The 17,208-nt window shown below is 33.7% G+C and overlaps 1 protein-coding gene across 11 annotated transcripts in view; it reads right to left on the bottom strand.

Moving 5' to 3' along the window:
• The window catches only part of PDE3B (phosphodiesterase 3B), a 255,518-nt gene that overhangs the window by 125,383 nt on the left and 112,927 nt on the right, over window positions 1-17,208 (bottom strand). For all 11 annotated transcript variants that reach the window (NR_190763.1, NR_190764.1, NR_190766.1 and 8 more), the window contains one exon: window positions 1,952-2,002. Coding sequence is in view for 7 of the 11 variants with exons in the window: in NM_001429700.1 (NP_001416629.1) it covers window positions 1,952-2,002 (51 nt within the window). In the remaining 4 variants the exon portion in view is untranslated. The remainder of the gene's footprint in view (window positions 1-1,951; window positions 2,003-17,208) is intronic.

Genomic DNA, 17,208 nt, shown 5'->3' with positions numbered 1-17,208 from the left:
GGGGTGCCAAACAAGATCCCAAAGTGATGAGAAAAACAAAGTAGTGAGCTTAAATTCAGACCTGCTTTTCCTCTAAAGGTATTTGCCAATTTATAAACAGTGGCTAAGAGAGAGATAAACCAAGTAGAAATCCTCAAAAAGATTTCTATTTTGAAATTAAAATAGGGCTTTCAGCAGTCTCACAAATGCCAGAAGGAACAACAACAAAAAAAGGAATTCCTAGAAAAACACAAGTAACTCAATTGTTAGAAGAAAAGATGGAAAATCTAAATGATACTAAAACTATTAAAGAAATTGAATCCATAACTTAAAATTTGACCACAAAATAATTCTTCAAGGTGAGATAGCTTCACCAGAGCATTCTTCCAAACATTAAAGGAGGAAATAATACCAATTTTTAATCTTACCCAAACTTTTCGAGGTAATAGAAAGGGTAAATATCTCACCTTATTTTATCTTGATATCAAGGTTCTTGGTAACCGTGATACCAATATAATGCCAAGAACATTATGAAAAGTAAGAATTTATAGGCCAACACTCTCTCATAAACACAAATTCAAAATTTCTAAACAAAACATTAACAAATAGAATCTAGTGATAAATATTTAAACAAAATACATCTTGATCAAATTTACTTTATTCTGGGAATACAGGGATGGTTTAACAAACATAAACAATGTAATTCACCACATTAGTAGAATAATTAGAAAAAAATCTCGAATCATTTGAATAGATGCAGAAAAAGCATCTGATAAAATTATATACCCACTCATAACTTAAGAGAAAAAAAGTCCTTAGTAAACTAGAATTAGAATAAAACTTCCTTAATCTGCTAAAGGGTATCTACAAAAAACATTAGTGGTGATATGTTGAACATTTTTTCCCTGAGTTCATGAAGAAAAACAAGGCTGCCTACTCATACCACTTCCATTCAACACTGCGTTGAAGGTCCTAGAAAGTACAATAACATGAGAAAAAGAAATAAAAGGCATAGGTTTTGAAATAAATAAATAAATCTGTCTTTATTCATAGATAACATTTTTGTGTACGTCAAGACTCAAAGAATCTTCAAATAAGCTATTAGAATTATTAAGTAAATTTAGCATAATGGGAAAGATCAATAAAGATAGACATCAAAAGTTAACACAGTTATTGCTTGATGTTTTATGAGTGATTTTCCTTTTTTCTCCTTATATTAAATACTTCTATTTTCATTTTATCTGATATAAACATATATTACTTAGGTGTTCAAAAAATTAATCCTAAAAAAGTACACATATTATTCCATTTGTGTATATATAAAGTTCAAAAATTAGCAAAACTAGTTATTAGAAGTCGGATAGGATTTATCTTTGGGGATATAGGTAATGACTGGAATTGGGCATATGTGAGGCTTCTGAGATACTGGAAACATTCTATTTCTTCATATCAGTACCAGTTACATGGGATGTTTAACTTCTGAAAATTGAGCTGTACACTTTCCTGCATGTATGTTATAATTTGATAAAAAGTTTACCAAAAAATGAAAGTTGGATATCTTTACTTCCCTAATAAAATATGTTGCCAACTGCTTTGCTTTGTCTCAGATATGGCCTTCCATCTATTTTTTCCCCTTTATAGAACAGTGGTCCACATCAGAAAAGAAAAAAATCTTATCCTTAATATAGAAATATTAGTTGATTCTGAGCCCAGATTATATTAGCAATATTTTTCATAACAATTTATATAAATTTTGTTTTTATCATTTTCTTTTTCCCTTATAATTAAAATATATTTTTAAAAAATCTACCTCAATGAAGGTTCTAGTTAACTTATTAGTTTAGTTAAAGAAAATCTTATGGCACAGAAATATTGTGAGTGTAACTTTAAGTGTCAAAAGTTGCATCACAGATATTATTTAGTGATCACAGATATTATTTAGATATTCATCACAGATATTAATTATACTTACTTGATAATGAGGCTTATACCATTGTTTTAAGTCCCAATCCCAAAGAATCATCTAGAAAAAAAAATTCACTTGGTTACAAACCAAAAATAAACAAAAAAGTATATGTAAAGACAAAATTCAGCATTTTCAATTATAATTATCTAATATAGCTCAAAATCTGGAAGAGATATTGGAATGGTGAAAATAAAAATTATCTCGACAGAATATTTCATTAATATAATCTATAATTGAGAAATCAAAAGAATAAAGAATTATCACAATAAAGTAACTAAAACAAGCCATATTAACCTTCAAATACTACCACAAAAAGGAAAATATAAATCCATAATCACATTAAGTCACAAAAAATAAAAGAAAAATTACATATCATCAGATATTCTCTGCCTACCCACCATCTCCAAAGGCTCATCATGGGTGATGGGTGATGCTATTTTCCTACCAATAAGGTACTTCTGTCAAAAACATTTTGAAAAGCTTGTTGTCCTTGGGGTTAGATTAAGTATAAAAGAATAGACTTATCAAAAGCAGCACATACCCCTTTTGATATGCACATAATTAGTGATTGTTTTCCTGTCTGTCTCCTTGATAGCCTAGCTTATCAATGGTAACTTTAGTCCCAGACTAGTTTTTTTCCTGCCCTTCTTCCTAACAAGCTTTTTGGCTGCTTCCCAACCCAATATAGTAGTCACTATGCCCAAGGAGATAAAATTAACTTTAATTTAGGAAGCTATAACTGCTACCTATCATCAATCCTAAATTTCTTTGACATTTACTGAGTTAAATAGGTCTTCTTTTGCTTAAATAATTCATTCTAATAGCCATTTTGTACATAGCTTTGAACCTGTATTGAATATGAGCCCAGTTAATCTGTAATATAATCTCATAATTTCTATATATTGAACTATTTGTGTTGTTTTTTGTCCTTCAGGCTTAAGTTTTCTGGTTGCAAAAGATCTTATTTGGTGCTTTGCTGGCTACATAAGGTCTCTATGGCATATTCTTTGCTTTTTGTTTTTGTTTTATAACCCTTTAAAATGCAAAAAAAATTATTAGCTCAAAGGTGATACAAAAACAGTCTGCTGGCAGCATTTGGTCAGTGGACTACAGTTTGCTGACTCATATTTTACATAATACACCCATGTTTAATCACTCAAAAAACTGTCAATTATCATTATCACCATCTCCTCATCAATATCCTTGCAGAACGTAATTTCTTTCTTACCACTGAGGAAAAATCTATTTCTTCCCAAAGAAAATTCAGACACAGTACAATCACTCAGAAGACTTGTGAACCAGTGCCCACAAAATGGCTCTGATATAACTGCATGCAAAGTATACCATATATATAACAGACTCATTAAATTTAAGCAGTATTTTATATGGTCCTAAATGTGGTCCTGATATAATTATTTCAGGTTGTGATTTAATCAGCATATAATCTAGATTCAAGAGACACTAATTATTGCAAATTAAGATGTTAATAGCTTCCTAAAATGCTCCTTAAGATTAACATAACCTAAAATCCCTAAGTTTCTTTTATACATGATATTGTTATGATCCATTTTCCTCCATGCTATTCTTATAAATATGGCTTTTTAGACCCAACTGCAATACTTTACTTCTGCCCTTATTTTAGCCTGTCAGCTTCTTTGGAGATTGAGAATGTCAACTACCCTATTCTCCATTCCTCCCATTATCATAACATCTATAAATCTGATGTTTTCTTAAGTTCACGAATAGATGTCTAGAATAGACAGGAGTGAAAACAGAGCCATACGATATATCACTAAAAATCACCTATGAGATAGGCATCAATGAACTAATTGGCATTCTTGGTCTGCTAACTTTTTTAACTGTACTATCATCTGATCCACATTTCTACACTTTTCCCACAATAATACCATCAAACAGAGACAAATACTTGTATACCTTATTTCCCTGACTCACAACTCTAAGTAGAAGTTGATTTCTGGCTAACTCAAGTATACTTTTCATTAGGATGGTTTCTTAACATTGAGTAGTCTGCCTTCCCCACTTCATTGACCTACATGATTAAATAAACATTACCTTTTTAAATATTTGTACTCTAATGCCAAGAGCCATGTTTGTATTCATGTGATATACTCTCAACAGTGGTGCTATCACTTCCAAGCAAGTGGTAGCTGGTTCTTGGGGCAAAAAAAAAAAAAAAATCTTGAAAATTAAAATGGTTCGTAGCCCTCCAAAGGCTACAGTATACAAACAGATATACTGTACATCTTTGGTATGAAAATTACATGAAGGGGGAGATGATTATGGAAACATATATATAATATATGTATATATAATATTTAATATATGTACATATATTTTACATATGTATATACAATATAAATATATATATATATATATCCCTGGATTCGGAGTTGTAATCAAAATACGGTGGAGAAACACTGATAAAAAGTAGTCCTGCTGCTTGCTTATAAGAGCAATCTCATCTTAGCTTATATTTTGTGAAAGTTCTCTAATGCATTTAGACAATTAAAGGCTGCCTATGCAGAAGGAAGGCTGCTAATATGAGAAGGAATGTATGCCCTATTTTAACTGGACTCTTAAAGGTCTCTAAAAATCTTACTATGTACAATGCTTCTTTTTTCTCTGCTTGCTCTCTTTAGATCTCTCTACTGTAGCATTTTGTATTACAATATTTCAATATTATATTTTTACAATATTGCAGACCATCTCCCTCAATATTGTACATTACAATATTGTAGTATTACAATATTACAGACCATCTCCCTCAATAAATTCACTCTTCCTGGCCCTTTATCCCATTATCATAGTTTTCTCTCACTTGTGCTTGCTAGATTGGCTTTGAATCAATTCTTAAGCAAAGCCCAATCTTATTTGCAGTCACTTTCTCTAGGATGAAAACTATGTTACCCTAAAGCAGCAGGTCTTACTGTGAAATCCCCTTCATATTAGGAATTGAAAGCAGATACACAGAAAGCCACAAAGAGCTAGCAGACTGCCTTCTGCGTAATTTGAGCAAGTAGCACATTAGTGATTTTGAGAAAACAATTTTCTCCATAAGTAATAGAAGATGAATGACCCAGGAATTCCACAGCTAGGTACACATCTTAGAGCAGTATTCAAAGTGTGGTCCATAATAAGATAAATACAGAAATTCAGAGTAAAGGTTTATATATTTTTATAGCAATTTGACAATGGTGAGACATTTTTAGTGTATTTTACAAAAGCATCAATCCACAACAGATCAGGGAAAAACCCAAAAGCTTGGTCCTTTGCTACAGTTTGACAGAAGGAGACAGGAAGAATGCACATAGCTGTGCAGCTTAGGGTAGCAAAAAACTAGATACAACCCAAATGTTCATCAACAATAAAATAGAAAAATTTTGATGTATTCATACAATGGAGTATAGGAGTGAAAATGAATGAAGTACATACAGCTACATCGTATATGGATGGATCTCAGAAACATAATGTTGAACAAGAAAAACAAGTCACAGACAGATACATACAGTATACCTTCACTCATTTAACATGAAATACACATTGCGATATGCTTATTAGAAATACTTATGGTAAACTGTAAAGAAATTCAGGATGGTGATTATCTCTAAAAGAAAAAGAAGTGAACCAGATCCAGGAGTGACATACAGGGAACTTCAATGTTAATGGTAATGTTCAAAAACACCAGTAATGGTGGGTTGATGGTGTCTGTTTCTTTAGTCTCTGTACTTTACACATATTTCATAAATATTTGTTCAGCTTTAGTAAAAGTTAAGATGAATTTAGGAAGGTAAGGAAGTAGACAAAGTGACTAGAGAAAACTCTTTTGAAAAACTGTGCTGTAAAGGCAAGAATGAAATGAAGCAATCATCAGAAAAAAATGTGGGAATAATACTTTTTTTTTTAACATGGTAGGTTCTAAAGCATGCTTGTACTTGATAGGAATGATCCTGAACAGTGGGAGAACTAATGACAGAATAAAGTGAGAAATATGCAAAGAGCAAATACTTAATGAAAATACTGCTAAGTGTCTCCGTAGTATTAGATTACATATATGTATACACGAAAAAAATATATATATGATATTTTTAAAAACATAAAATTTTAAACTAGGAAATTGTAATAGAATATTAGCCATTATTTATCAAATTATGATCTGTCAATCACTAGTTGTTCCTCATTGTCCCAGAATATTTAGAGGGAAAAAGGAAACAACTTAGTTTGCATATATTTCATAATTGTGAACTATAAGGTTAATTTTGATTTCCGCAGAAATCTCATTATTATCTTAAAAACTTATATTCTTAAAAGCTGAAAAGGTTCTCTAAGACCTGCATTATTCTAAAAGAGAACAAATCATCTTACCTGAAGTATTTTCACATCATTTGAATATTATTTATATCTTTTAAATTTGCATTATTTTCATTGTGTTGCATTATACTCCCCAATCAATAAATAAATGGCTCAAAATTGGTTTTTAAAGCCTAAGATATTGATAAAAATAGGGTAACATAAATAGCTCGGAATAAATGTTGAACCTAAATCAAGAATAGGACTCTAATGCAAACAATATAAATCTGTGCATGTGATAATACCACACAAAGAGATAAAAACAAAAATTTTACTAGCACATACAATAGCAACTATCTAAAAGCTGGATTTCTTTCTGACTGGTAATTCATTTACCCTATATTCTTCTGGATGTTGTCTACTTTGAAACTTTATCAAATAATGACATGAAGCTATGGAAAGTTTTCAAACAAAACATAAAAACCTCTTTGGTAAATGAACAGAATCTTTCTAGAACAAGCACAAAATGCTTTCATATATGAAACTGAAGATTTTTGTTCCTAAAAGAGACAAAAACTACACAGGCACCATTCAGATTCTGTGCTCCTCCTAGCAAAAGCATATAAAAAAGATAGACTATTGCTGAGAGATTTATAAAACTCTCAGCCACACAAACGATAAATATTATGCTGAAAGAAAAACCAGATATTTTACTTTACTGCTTGATAAATGCACTGAAGTGCAAAGCCAAATCAGCTCTTGGTATATGTGTAATACACTTGAGGAAGAATAGCAGACAAGTTTTTGTGTTTACCTCTGAAAAATTCATACTACAAAACATGATTTTTTTTCCTACTTAATATTTGTTTTGTAAACTATGATATAGACTGGGAAATATGTGATGAAATCAGTCCTGAGAGAAAAAATCAGTTGTCTGCACATCAAGAAAAAGCCTTGCTAAGCAATGAGTACTACACTAACTGCAAATCTATATACCCTGTTTTTTTTTTGTTTGTTTGTTTGTTTTCACAGAAAGAGGCTGGTGGTTAAAATACATTATGCTGAGTTCAATGTTAAAGAAATAGCATAAATGTAAATGCACTCAATTTTTGGATACAGAGTATACATCTTTTCAGTGTGCTTTGGAAAAACTGAGCAAATAAAATATTTAAAAGTAAATATAAAATATAAAGAGCAAAAAGAGCTTTTTTCAATAAAATGCAAAAGCCTCTATTTCTTAAACTTTCAAGTATGATAATGTCCATCAACTTAGCAAGTGACTCAGCCTTGAAAGAGTCTTCAGTGAGCAATCTCTTAATTCTGGAGTCCATGTTTAACCTGAGTATTCAGAACCAACAGCCAAAAAACCCCTGCTGACTGTCCTCATAAATTATAATTTTGGTTGGATTTTTCCAAGTTAAGAGAAATAGAGATGAGAAAAGAATATGACGATATACAATGAACCTACAACAAGCAGCCTATTTACTCAACATTGAGCTAAACAGAGATACCTTTAATATTGTAAATATACACTGATATAAAATATTTTAATTTTTTAGTTTTCAAAAATTGTGATTAATTCTTTTTTATACATTTACCTTAAGTTGGTGGGTAGCTACCACGCATACGGAATGCATAGTTGGCGGTACATGTATATTAAAACTTTTAAGAAATACTGGTTCAAGCACTCATTCCTCCTATATAATAAAATGTAGCTCTTTTAAAATTTTACTTCCAAGTAGACAGTAAATGCTCTGATACACATTGTTTCCAAGTCAGCAAAGTTTTAGGCATCTAAACCCAATACCAAAGTAGATCTTGTAAATAACTTAAATATAAGAATTTTATAAATATATATATAAAATAAATAAAATTAAATTTTTAATCCCAGTTTAAAACAAAAAGTTATAGTGCTATGGTATGTTTTAAACATGTAGTTCTATCAAACTATAAGACATCATTTAATGAAAGCATAAAATTTTAACTTGCTGTTTTTAGGAGCTTCCATTATTATATTTACCTCTTTCCTTCTGTGCTAATATATAATACAATACCAGAAATTATTATTTCTTTTCATACTGTGGTTATTTGTTCAAAACTAATTAAGGAACAGTAATTTCTCTAAGTAATATATACTATTAAACATTTTTAAGTTGATCTAGGTGTACCCAAGACTGCACCTTTATTTACATTCATTTTTTCTTTATGGTTAAAAAGTTGAATCCTGATAAAAGTTTCTGTTTGAATATGTTTTTAAGTCTAACACGCTCTACGGAGCTCTACAAAACCACCAAAACCACAGTGAAACATCAGCAGTACAACCAGGAGATGTTATCAGGTTCAATTACGTCAATGAGGCTTTATTTCATTGTTCTCTATGTAGCCAAAAAGAAAAACATGTATGTGCCCTCAAATCAAGCTTACAGAACTGTTATATTTATGTGAAATTTAAAAAGAATACTTATTATAGTACGGCTCTGAATTAACTGTTACAGCATCCTATATTCTCCCATTTCTTGATGACATTTTACTTGAGCTTCATATATAAATCTATGCTAATGAAACTGACTGAATTCAGTGTTTCCAACTTTTTCTATGCCTTCCAACTTAGGCCTAATAAAAAAATCCACTTAACTCTTTGTGTGTGTTTAGCGAACATAAATCAAAAACAAAATAAATGAATAGCCAAAAAGTTAAACTAACTAAAGCTATATTTCCTAATTGTTTAAAGTGCAAAGATATTAACCTTGAACCCTATGTAACAAAGAAATAACCCTATTCAGAAAAACTGAGAAGCAGAAAAAAAAAGTGTGGGGGGAGGGGGAGGGGTAGGAGACTAGTATTACTTGGAAACTGATGTCATTTACTATTCTTTCTAGTCATATAATATTATGATGGTCATGGTAACTTAAACTGCATGCTGTGTACCAGCACTATATTAGGCACTTAATATACACTGTCCCTTTTCATCTTTATTAGAATTCTCTGTGGTAAGCCTTATTTCCCCATTTTACAGATGACAAAACAAAGACTTCCCAAAATCTCATGATTAGTAAGTGACGGACAGAACTTAAATCTAGATCTGCCTAATTCCAAAGCTTTAAGGACCAACCATTATGCTGTAGCATCTTATATTTGTCATTTAATAAACAGTACTATATGCTAGCAATGTAGCAGTGCTTGGCAGTACATGTAACATCACAGCAACTTTGCGGTAGCCTCATTTTATATATGGAGAAGTTGAGGCTTAGTGATTCTACTGATTACTCAGCATTTGTCTCCACATCCATCTTTTGCCCTTCTCTGGACCCTAGGGAGAGTGAACCCTATATTCTGCAACACCTAAGAAGCCTTGCAGCTGGTTTCTGCTTACATTTAGCCAATGGAGGTCAATAGCAGAAAAATAGAGTTGAGGAGTAGAGAGAGATCAAGGTTATTTCTTCTCTGCTGCTTCCTTACCTATGTACCATTGTCTCTGGCAACAGCTGTGTTCCTCCACAACTATAGCTCTTACTAGCTGGTCCTTCCTTCATACCTTTGGCAATCACTAAACTAAAAACACCATGTCCACTCTTGCCTCTTCAGCCCCAGGTGAGGTAACAGCTTTCCATAATTGCTAGTTTCTAGTTGCCTTACCATATCTTGCCCATTCCTTAACTCTGTTCATTCTCTCAAAGTAGACTCTTCATTAAAGTGTTTTTATTTGAACCACTTTTTAGTGAATTTTATTTCTTGCTGGGTCCCTAAATAATACAGGGGCATTGTAACTAAGTTCTGCCACATGTCAGCTAGTAATTGGCAGAGCTAAAATCTAAACCCAGGTTTATCTCCCTCCAATTTCATTCCTTTCCACTATGCTAAAATGGTAATAATTTTTATAACACATTTCTTTCAAAAATGGAAAGTATCTACCTAGACCTTGTTTTTATTTATCAAATCATCATATTACCTTCTAATATCTGTATCCATATACCTGGCATTTCATTCTGTCACAACAGATGAACTGTCTGTGCTCCAGCCTACAGCTACTTTTCCATAAATGTAGTAGATTCGATTCCCTCTTCCCTACCTGAAGATATTTCAGCAGCAATTCTCTCTCTCATCATCATTTTTTCTCTACTAAATCATTCCAATTAGATTATAAACATGCTGCAGTTTCTCACATCTCACATTCATTACACACACACACCCCTTTATCATGATCATACTTTCACCCGGCCACTATCTCATTTCTCTGTAAAATTCTTCAAAAGAGTTGTCTTTATTGGTTGTTTCTAGTTCTTCTCCTTTCATTCTCTGGTAAGTTGACTCTAATCAGGTTTTGGCACTTTTTCATTAAATCTGTTCTTGATGAGGTCTCTAATGTTGTTAAAACCAATGGTCAAGTCTCACTCTTCATACTTCTGATCCATCATCATTTGACACAATCTAACACTCTTTCCTCCCTGAAATTATTTTTCTCACTTGGCTTCTGGAGTATTACATTCTCCAGATTTCTTTCTAATTCACTGGACACTATTTCTCAGTCTCCTCTCTGAGTCTTACTTACCATTTTGATGTTTTAACATTGCTGTGACCCCCACTGCCCTTGGACCTCTTCTCTTTTCTATTTCACTTAGCTTTGTGGGTGTAAATACCTTCAATAAGCTAATGACTCACAAATGTATATGTATCTTCTTCTCTGAGCTGAAGAATTATATATCCAATAGCCTACTCAACATCTCCAGTTGGCTGTCTAATAGATACCTTGAACTTAACATGTCCAAAACTGAACTGACCTTCCTCCCCATAGTCTTCCCTCATCTCAGTTAGTGGGAATCCCATCATTACCTTGGCTTAGGCCAAAAATATAACTCCCCTCTTTCTCACACATCACACTGGAAAATCCTGTTATCTCTACTTTCATAATATGTACAGAATATAAACATTTATCATATCTTCATTGCTCCCACTCTAGCCTAAGCCATCATGCTCTCTTGCCCAAATCATTACCAAAGCCTCCTAAATATTCTTTGCTTCCTTTCTTGCCCAGGTAGAATCTATTCTCAACAGAGCAAAGCAACCCTCTTAAAGCTTAAGTCACATAATGTCACTTCTTTGTTCAACACTCTCCAGTGACTTCTCATCTCAACCTGAGTAAAAGCCTAAGGTTTTAACAATGGCCTACAAGGCCCTCTCCACTCCCCTCCAGCTAAGTTGGTTTATTTACTATTCCTTGAACAGGCCAGGAAAGTTCAATAAAGATTCATTCCCCTGCATCTTCCTTTTTCTTAATAAATTAAAAAGGAAATAACAGTACAACACTATTATCTAGCGTGATGTTCTAAAGCTGTACTGATAAAATTTTAAAGCAGCACTTAAAATATGCATTAAGGAATTTCTTGTTCATTTTTCTTTTCCTGTCAAGAAGTACAAAATCAGCTGGGTGGGGTGGTGAATGCCTGTAGTACCAGGCAGGAGGAGTATTTGAGCCCAGGAGTTCAAAACCAGCCTGGGCAATACAGTGAGATCCCATTTCAAAAAAAAAAAAAGTATAAAATCCGTAGAGACAGGGTCTCACCATGTTGCCCAAACTGGTCTTAAACTCCTGGGCTCAAGCGATCTGCCAGGCTCAGTTTCCCAAAGTGCTGGGATTACAGGCATGAACCACCACACCCAGCTGACTTGTCTTTATTTTAGAACTGCATATTAAATTTAGGAGATATGGATATTAAAGAAAATTAACAAAAAAGCATCAGAGTAGACTTTAATTAACCAAAAAGAAAAACTTAAAAACTCAATTTATATTCAGAAACTAATCTTTTTCCATTTAAAATAAAAATGTACCATTTTTATTTGGGATTTTTATTAGTCAGATAGAAATTAGTCCAGTTTCCAGCAGTATACATTTGACACTGTTAGGCATTAGCTAAATAAATAAGTTTTGTCATGGTAATTGTGATTAAAATTAAGCAAACAAAGATGCTAGCCCCATAGCAACTTGATTTAAAAATGAAAACTGGGAACCTCTTGTCTGTTAAAAAAAATCAGATTCCCCAGGGATCATCATGGTATCCTATACTTATAAAACAAAATGTACTAAAAGTTTTACGCTCTGAATAGGCAAAATAACTTTTCCAATAAACTTTAAACATGCAGACAAATTAACACTACATTTTGAGAAAAAACTTTACAAAGGACCATTAAATACTAATTGTTCATGTAAAAAATAGCATAAAATAATAAAATCTGAGAATAATATAATACTGAATTGACTGTTACTACAAAATGGCAGGTATAAGCTAAAGAAACTGACAAATCAAAACCAAGCTTCAAGTAATCCTATCTAAACTGAGCACAATGTCTAACTACTGTTCAATGTGAAATAACTTATTTTCCCAAACATTGCACTTTTTGGTAGTGCCACACAAAGAAAAAATTACCATTTATAATTCCAAATGGCATAGAAAGGAAAATCAGATGATAATTAAAGTCTTTCAATGATGAATGTACTACTAGAATTTTTAAAGACTTCTATTTTTAATTCAACGGTCTTTTTTCTATATTAATAGCGCTGCTCGTTTATTAGGAAGCAAATACACAAGTCTAGTGTTTTACTGTGATTAAAGAGTCTAGCACAATGATAAATTGTGCTAATTCTTGAACACAAGACAACTAAAAAAAAATCCTAGAAGGAATAAGTTCTAGTATAGGATAACAGGAAAATTACAGTTAAGAACAATTTATTGTATATTTCAAAATAGCTAGAGAGAAGAACTGTAATGTTCCCAACACAAAGAAAAGATAAATGTTGGAGGTGATGGATATCCCAATTACCCTGATTTGATTGTTACACAATGTATACAAGTATTAAAATATCACATGTACCACAGAAATATGTACAACTGTGATGTCAATTTTTTTAATGTTCCAAAAGAATATGTATACACACTGAGAACAGTGGTTACTTTTGTGGGGTAAGTTGAGAACTAAGCAATGCGAAAGAGAATTGTCAACTTATGACTGTTTCCACTTTTTGCATTTTGAACCATGTGAATATATTATGTACTTTGAAATATTAAATAAGAACCCCATTAAACTTGATTTTGAAGAAAAACAATTTTAAACTATCCTAGTCTTTTTGGTATGCTGATGGTCAATGAGGATAACTAAGTAACCCATTAGGCTGGCAGCACATATGTCAGTACAGGAACTGTTTACTAATTCATCAATTATTAATATAAATCAGATGCAAATTATGCACCTTCAGTCTCCAGGAGGTCGAGGTCTGATTTGTTCCTACTTTGATTATAGCATCTAGCACAGTGAGTACGCAGCACATAATCATTGTTTAATAAATATCTGTAGAATGATTTAACCTATAAATATCACTTGTTCCATTATAAATTTGAAATTTTGGTTATAGAATCTATGAACACTACTAATAATAGCTAACATCTATTAAGGGCTTACTATATGCCATTATCTCACTTAAAACTTGAAACAACCTTGTGGCTGTCCTCACTTTTAAATAAACTGTGGCTGAGCAAGTCTAAGCAACTTGCCCAGACTTACAGGGCAAGGCAGTAGCAGAGCCAGAATCATACTGTGGTTTCTCTAACTACAAAATCTATAACTTTAACAACAATATTATATTGCAATACTCACAATTTATTTTTAGGTTGAGAATCTCTATTATGTAAGTCTCTTTCATCCTATAAAAACGACCAGTTTATAAAAATCTCAAAATAATGAATTTTCAACTGATAAACAATAGCAATGCATTATTTAACTTCTGGGCTTCTTACTACTTAGCCTCCTCCTGAAGCTGAGCTCTAAACCACTTAAAACAATATCTGTAGCCGGGCACGGTGGCTCACATCTGTAATCCCAGCACTTTGGGAGGCCAAGGCGGGCAGATCACAAGGTCACAAGATAGAGACCATCTGGGCCAACATGGTGAAACCCTGTATCTACTAAAAATACAAAAATTAGCTGGGCGTGGTGGCACACACCTGTAGTCCCAGCTACTCTAGAAGCTGAGGCAGAAGAATCACTTGAACCCAGGAGGCGGAGGTTTCAGTGAGCCGAGACCACGCCACTGCACTCCAACCAGGCGACAAAGCAAGACTCTGTCTCAAAAAAAAAAAAAAAAAAACTACTTCTGATAGACAGTGGAACAACTTTATGCAGCAGCAGAAGTGGCCTACCAATTTAGAACTGAACTACTACTGAACTACAATTAGACTGAACTTTGTTCCAGATGTCAGTGTAAAAAGGAATGTGGTGCAGATTTAAACTTGTTGTGCAGATAAAGAATGTACTTTAAAAAATGTACCAGAGGTACAAGGAGGAACTGGTACCATTCCTTCTGAAACTATTCCAGTCAATAGAAAAAGAGGGAATCCTCCCTAACTCATTTTATGAGGCCAGCATCATTCTGATACCAAAGCCGGGCAGAGACACAACCAAAAAAGAGAATTTTAGACCAATATCCTTGACGAACATTGATGCAAAAATCCTCAATAAAATACTGGAAAAAACGAATCCAGCAGCACATCAAAAAGCTTATCCACCATGATCAAGTGGGCTTCATCCCTGGGATGCAAGGCTGGTTCAATATACGCAAATCAATAAATGTAATCCAGCATATAAACAGAGCCAAAGACAAAAACCACATGACTATCTCAATAGATGCAGAAAAAGCCTTTGACAAAATTCAACAACCCTTCATGCTAAAAACTCTCAATAAATTAGGTATTGATGGGACGTATCTCAAAATAATAAGAGCTATCTATGAGAAACCCACAGCCAATATCATACTGAATGGGCAAAAACTGGAAGCATTCCCTTTGAAAACTGGCACAAGACAGGGATGCCCTCTCTCACCACTCCTATTCAACATAGTGTTGGAAGTTCTGGCCAGGACAATTAGGCAGGAGAAGGATTGTCCCTGTTTGCAGACGACATGATTGTATATCTAGAAAACCCCATCGTCTCAGCCCAAAATCTCCTTAAGCTGATAAGCAACTTCAGCAAAGTCTCAGGATACAAAATCAATGTACAAAAATCACAAGCATTCTTATACACCAACAACAGACAAACAGAGAGCCAAATCATGAGTGAACTCCCATTCACAATTGCTTCAAAGACAATAAAATACCTAGGAATCCAACTTACAAGGGATGTGAAGGACCTCTTCAAGAAGAACTACAAACCACTGCTCAAGGAAATAAAAGAGGATACAAACAAATGGAAGAACATTCCATGCTCATGGGTAGGAAGAATCAATATCGTGAAAATGGCCATACTGCCCAAGGTAATTTACAGATTCAATGCCATCCCCATCAAGCTACCAATGACTTTCTTCACAGAATTGGAAAAAACTACTTTAAAGTTCATATGGAACCAAAAAAGAGCCCGCATCGCCAAGTCAATCCTAAGCCAAAAGAACAAAGCTGGAGGCATCACACTACCTGACTTCAAACTATACTACAAGGCTACACTAACCAAAACAGCATGGTACTGGTACCAAATCAGAGATATAGATCAATGGAAAAGAACAGAGTCCTCAGAAATAACGCCACATATCTACAACTATCTGATCTTTGACAAACCTGACAAAAACAAGCAATGGGGAAAGGATTCCCTATTTAATAAATGGTGCTGGGAAAATTGGCTAGCCATATGTAGAAAGCTGAAACCGGATCCCTTCCTTACACCTTATACAAAAATCAATTCAAGATGGATTAAAGATTTAAACGTTAGACCTAAAACCATAAAAACCCTAGAAGAAAACCTAGGCATTACCATTCAGGACATAGGCATGGGCAAGGACTTCATGTCCAAAACACCAAAAGCAATGGCAACAAAAGCCAAAATTGACAAATGGGATCTAATTAAACTCAAGAGCTTCTGCACAGCAAAAGAAACTACCATCAGAGTGAACAGGCACCCTACAAAATGGGAGAAAATTTTCGCAACCTACTCATCTGAAAAAGGGCTAATATCCAGAATCTACAATGAACTCAAACAAATTTACAAGAAAAAAACACACAACCCCATCAACAAGTGGGTGAAGGACATGAACAGACACTTCTCAAAAGAAGACATTTATGCAGCCAAAAAACACATGAAAAAATGCTCATCATCACTGGCCATCAGAGAAATGCAAATCAAAACCACAATGAGATACCATCTCACACCAGTTAGAATGGCAGTCATTAAAAAGTCAGGAAACAGCAGGTGCTAGAGAGGATGTGGAGAAATAGGAACACTTTTACACTGTTGGTGGGACTGTAAACTAGTTCAACCATTGTGGAAGTCAGTGTGGCGATTCCTCAGGGATCTAGAACTAGAAATACCATTTGACCCAGCCATCCCATTACTGGGTATATACCCAAAGGACTATAAATCATGCTGCTATAAAGACACATGCACACGTATGTTTATTGCGGCATTATTCACAATAGCAAAGACTTGGAACCGACCCAAATGTCCAACAATGATAGACTGGATTAAGAAAATGTGGCACATATACACCATGGAGTACTATGCAGCCATAAAAAATGATGAGTTCGTGTCCTTTGTAGGGACATGGATGATACTGGAAATCATCATTCTCAGTAAACTATTGCAAGAGCAAAAAACCAAACACCACATATTCTCACTCATAGGTGGGAATTGAACAATGAGATCACATGGACACAGGAAGGGGAATATCACACTCTGGGGACTGTGGTGGGGTGGGGGGAGGGGGGAGGGATAGCATTGGGAGATATACCTAATGCTAGATGACGAGTTAGTGGGTGCAGCACACCAGCATGGCACATGTATACATATGTAACTAACCTGCACAATGTGCACATGCACCCTAAAACTTAAAGTATAATAAAAAAAAAAAATAAGCACTTAAAATGATATCTTGTGTGTCAGTATGCTATTAAGTATATGTAGTCCAGATTGCTCATGCACTT

This window comes from Homo sapiens, chromosome 11 (assembly GCF_000001405.40).
Source record: "Homo sapiens chromosome 11, GRCh38.p14 Primary Assembly".
Lineage (NCBI taxonomy): Eukaryota > Metazoa > Chordata > Mammalia > Primates > Hominidae > Homo > Homo sapiens.
This window is presented reverse-complemented; position numbering and strand designations above follow the sequence as displayed.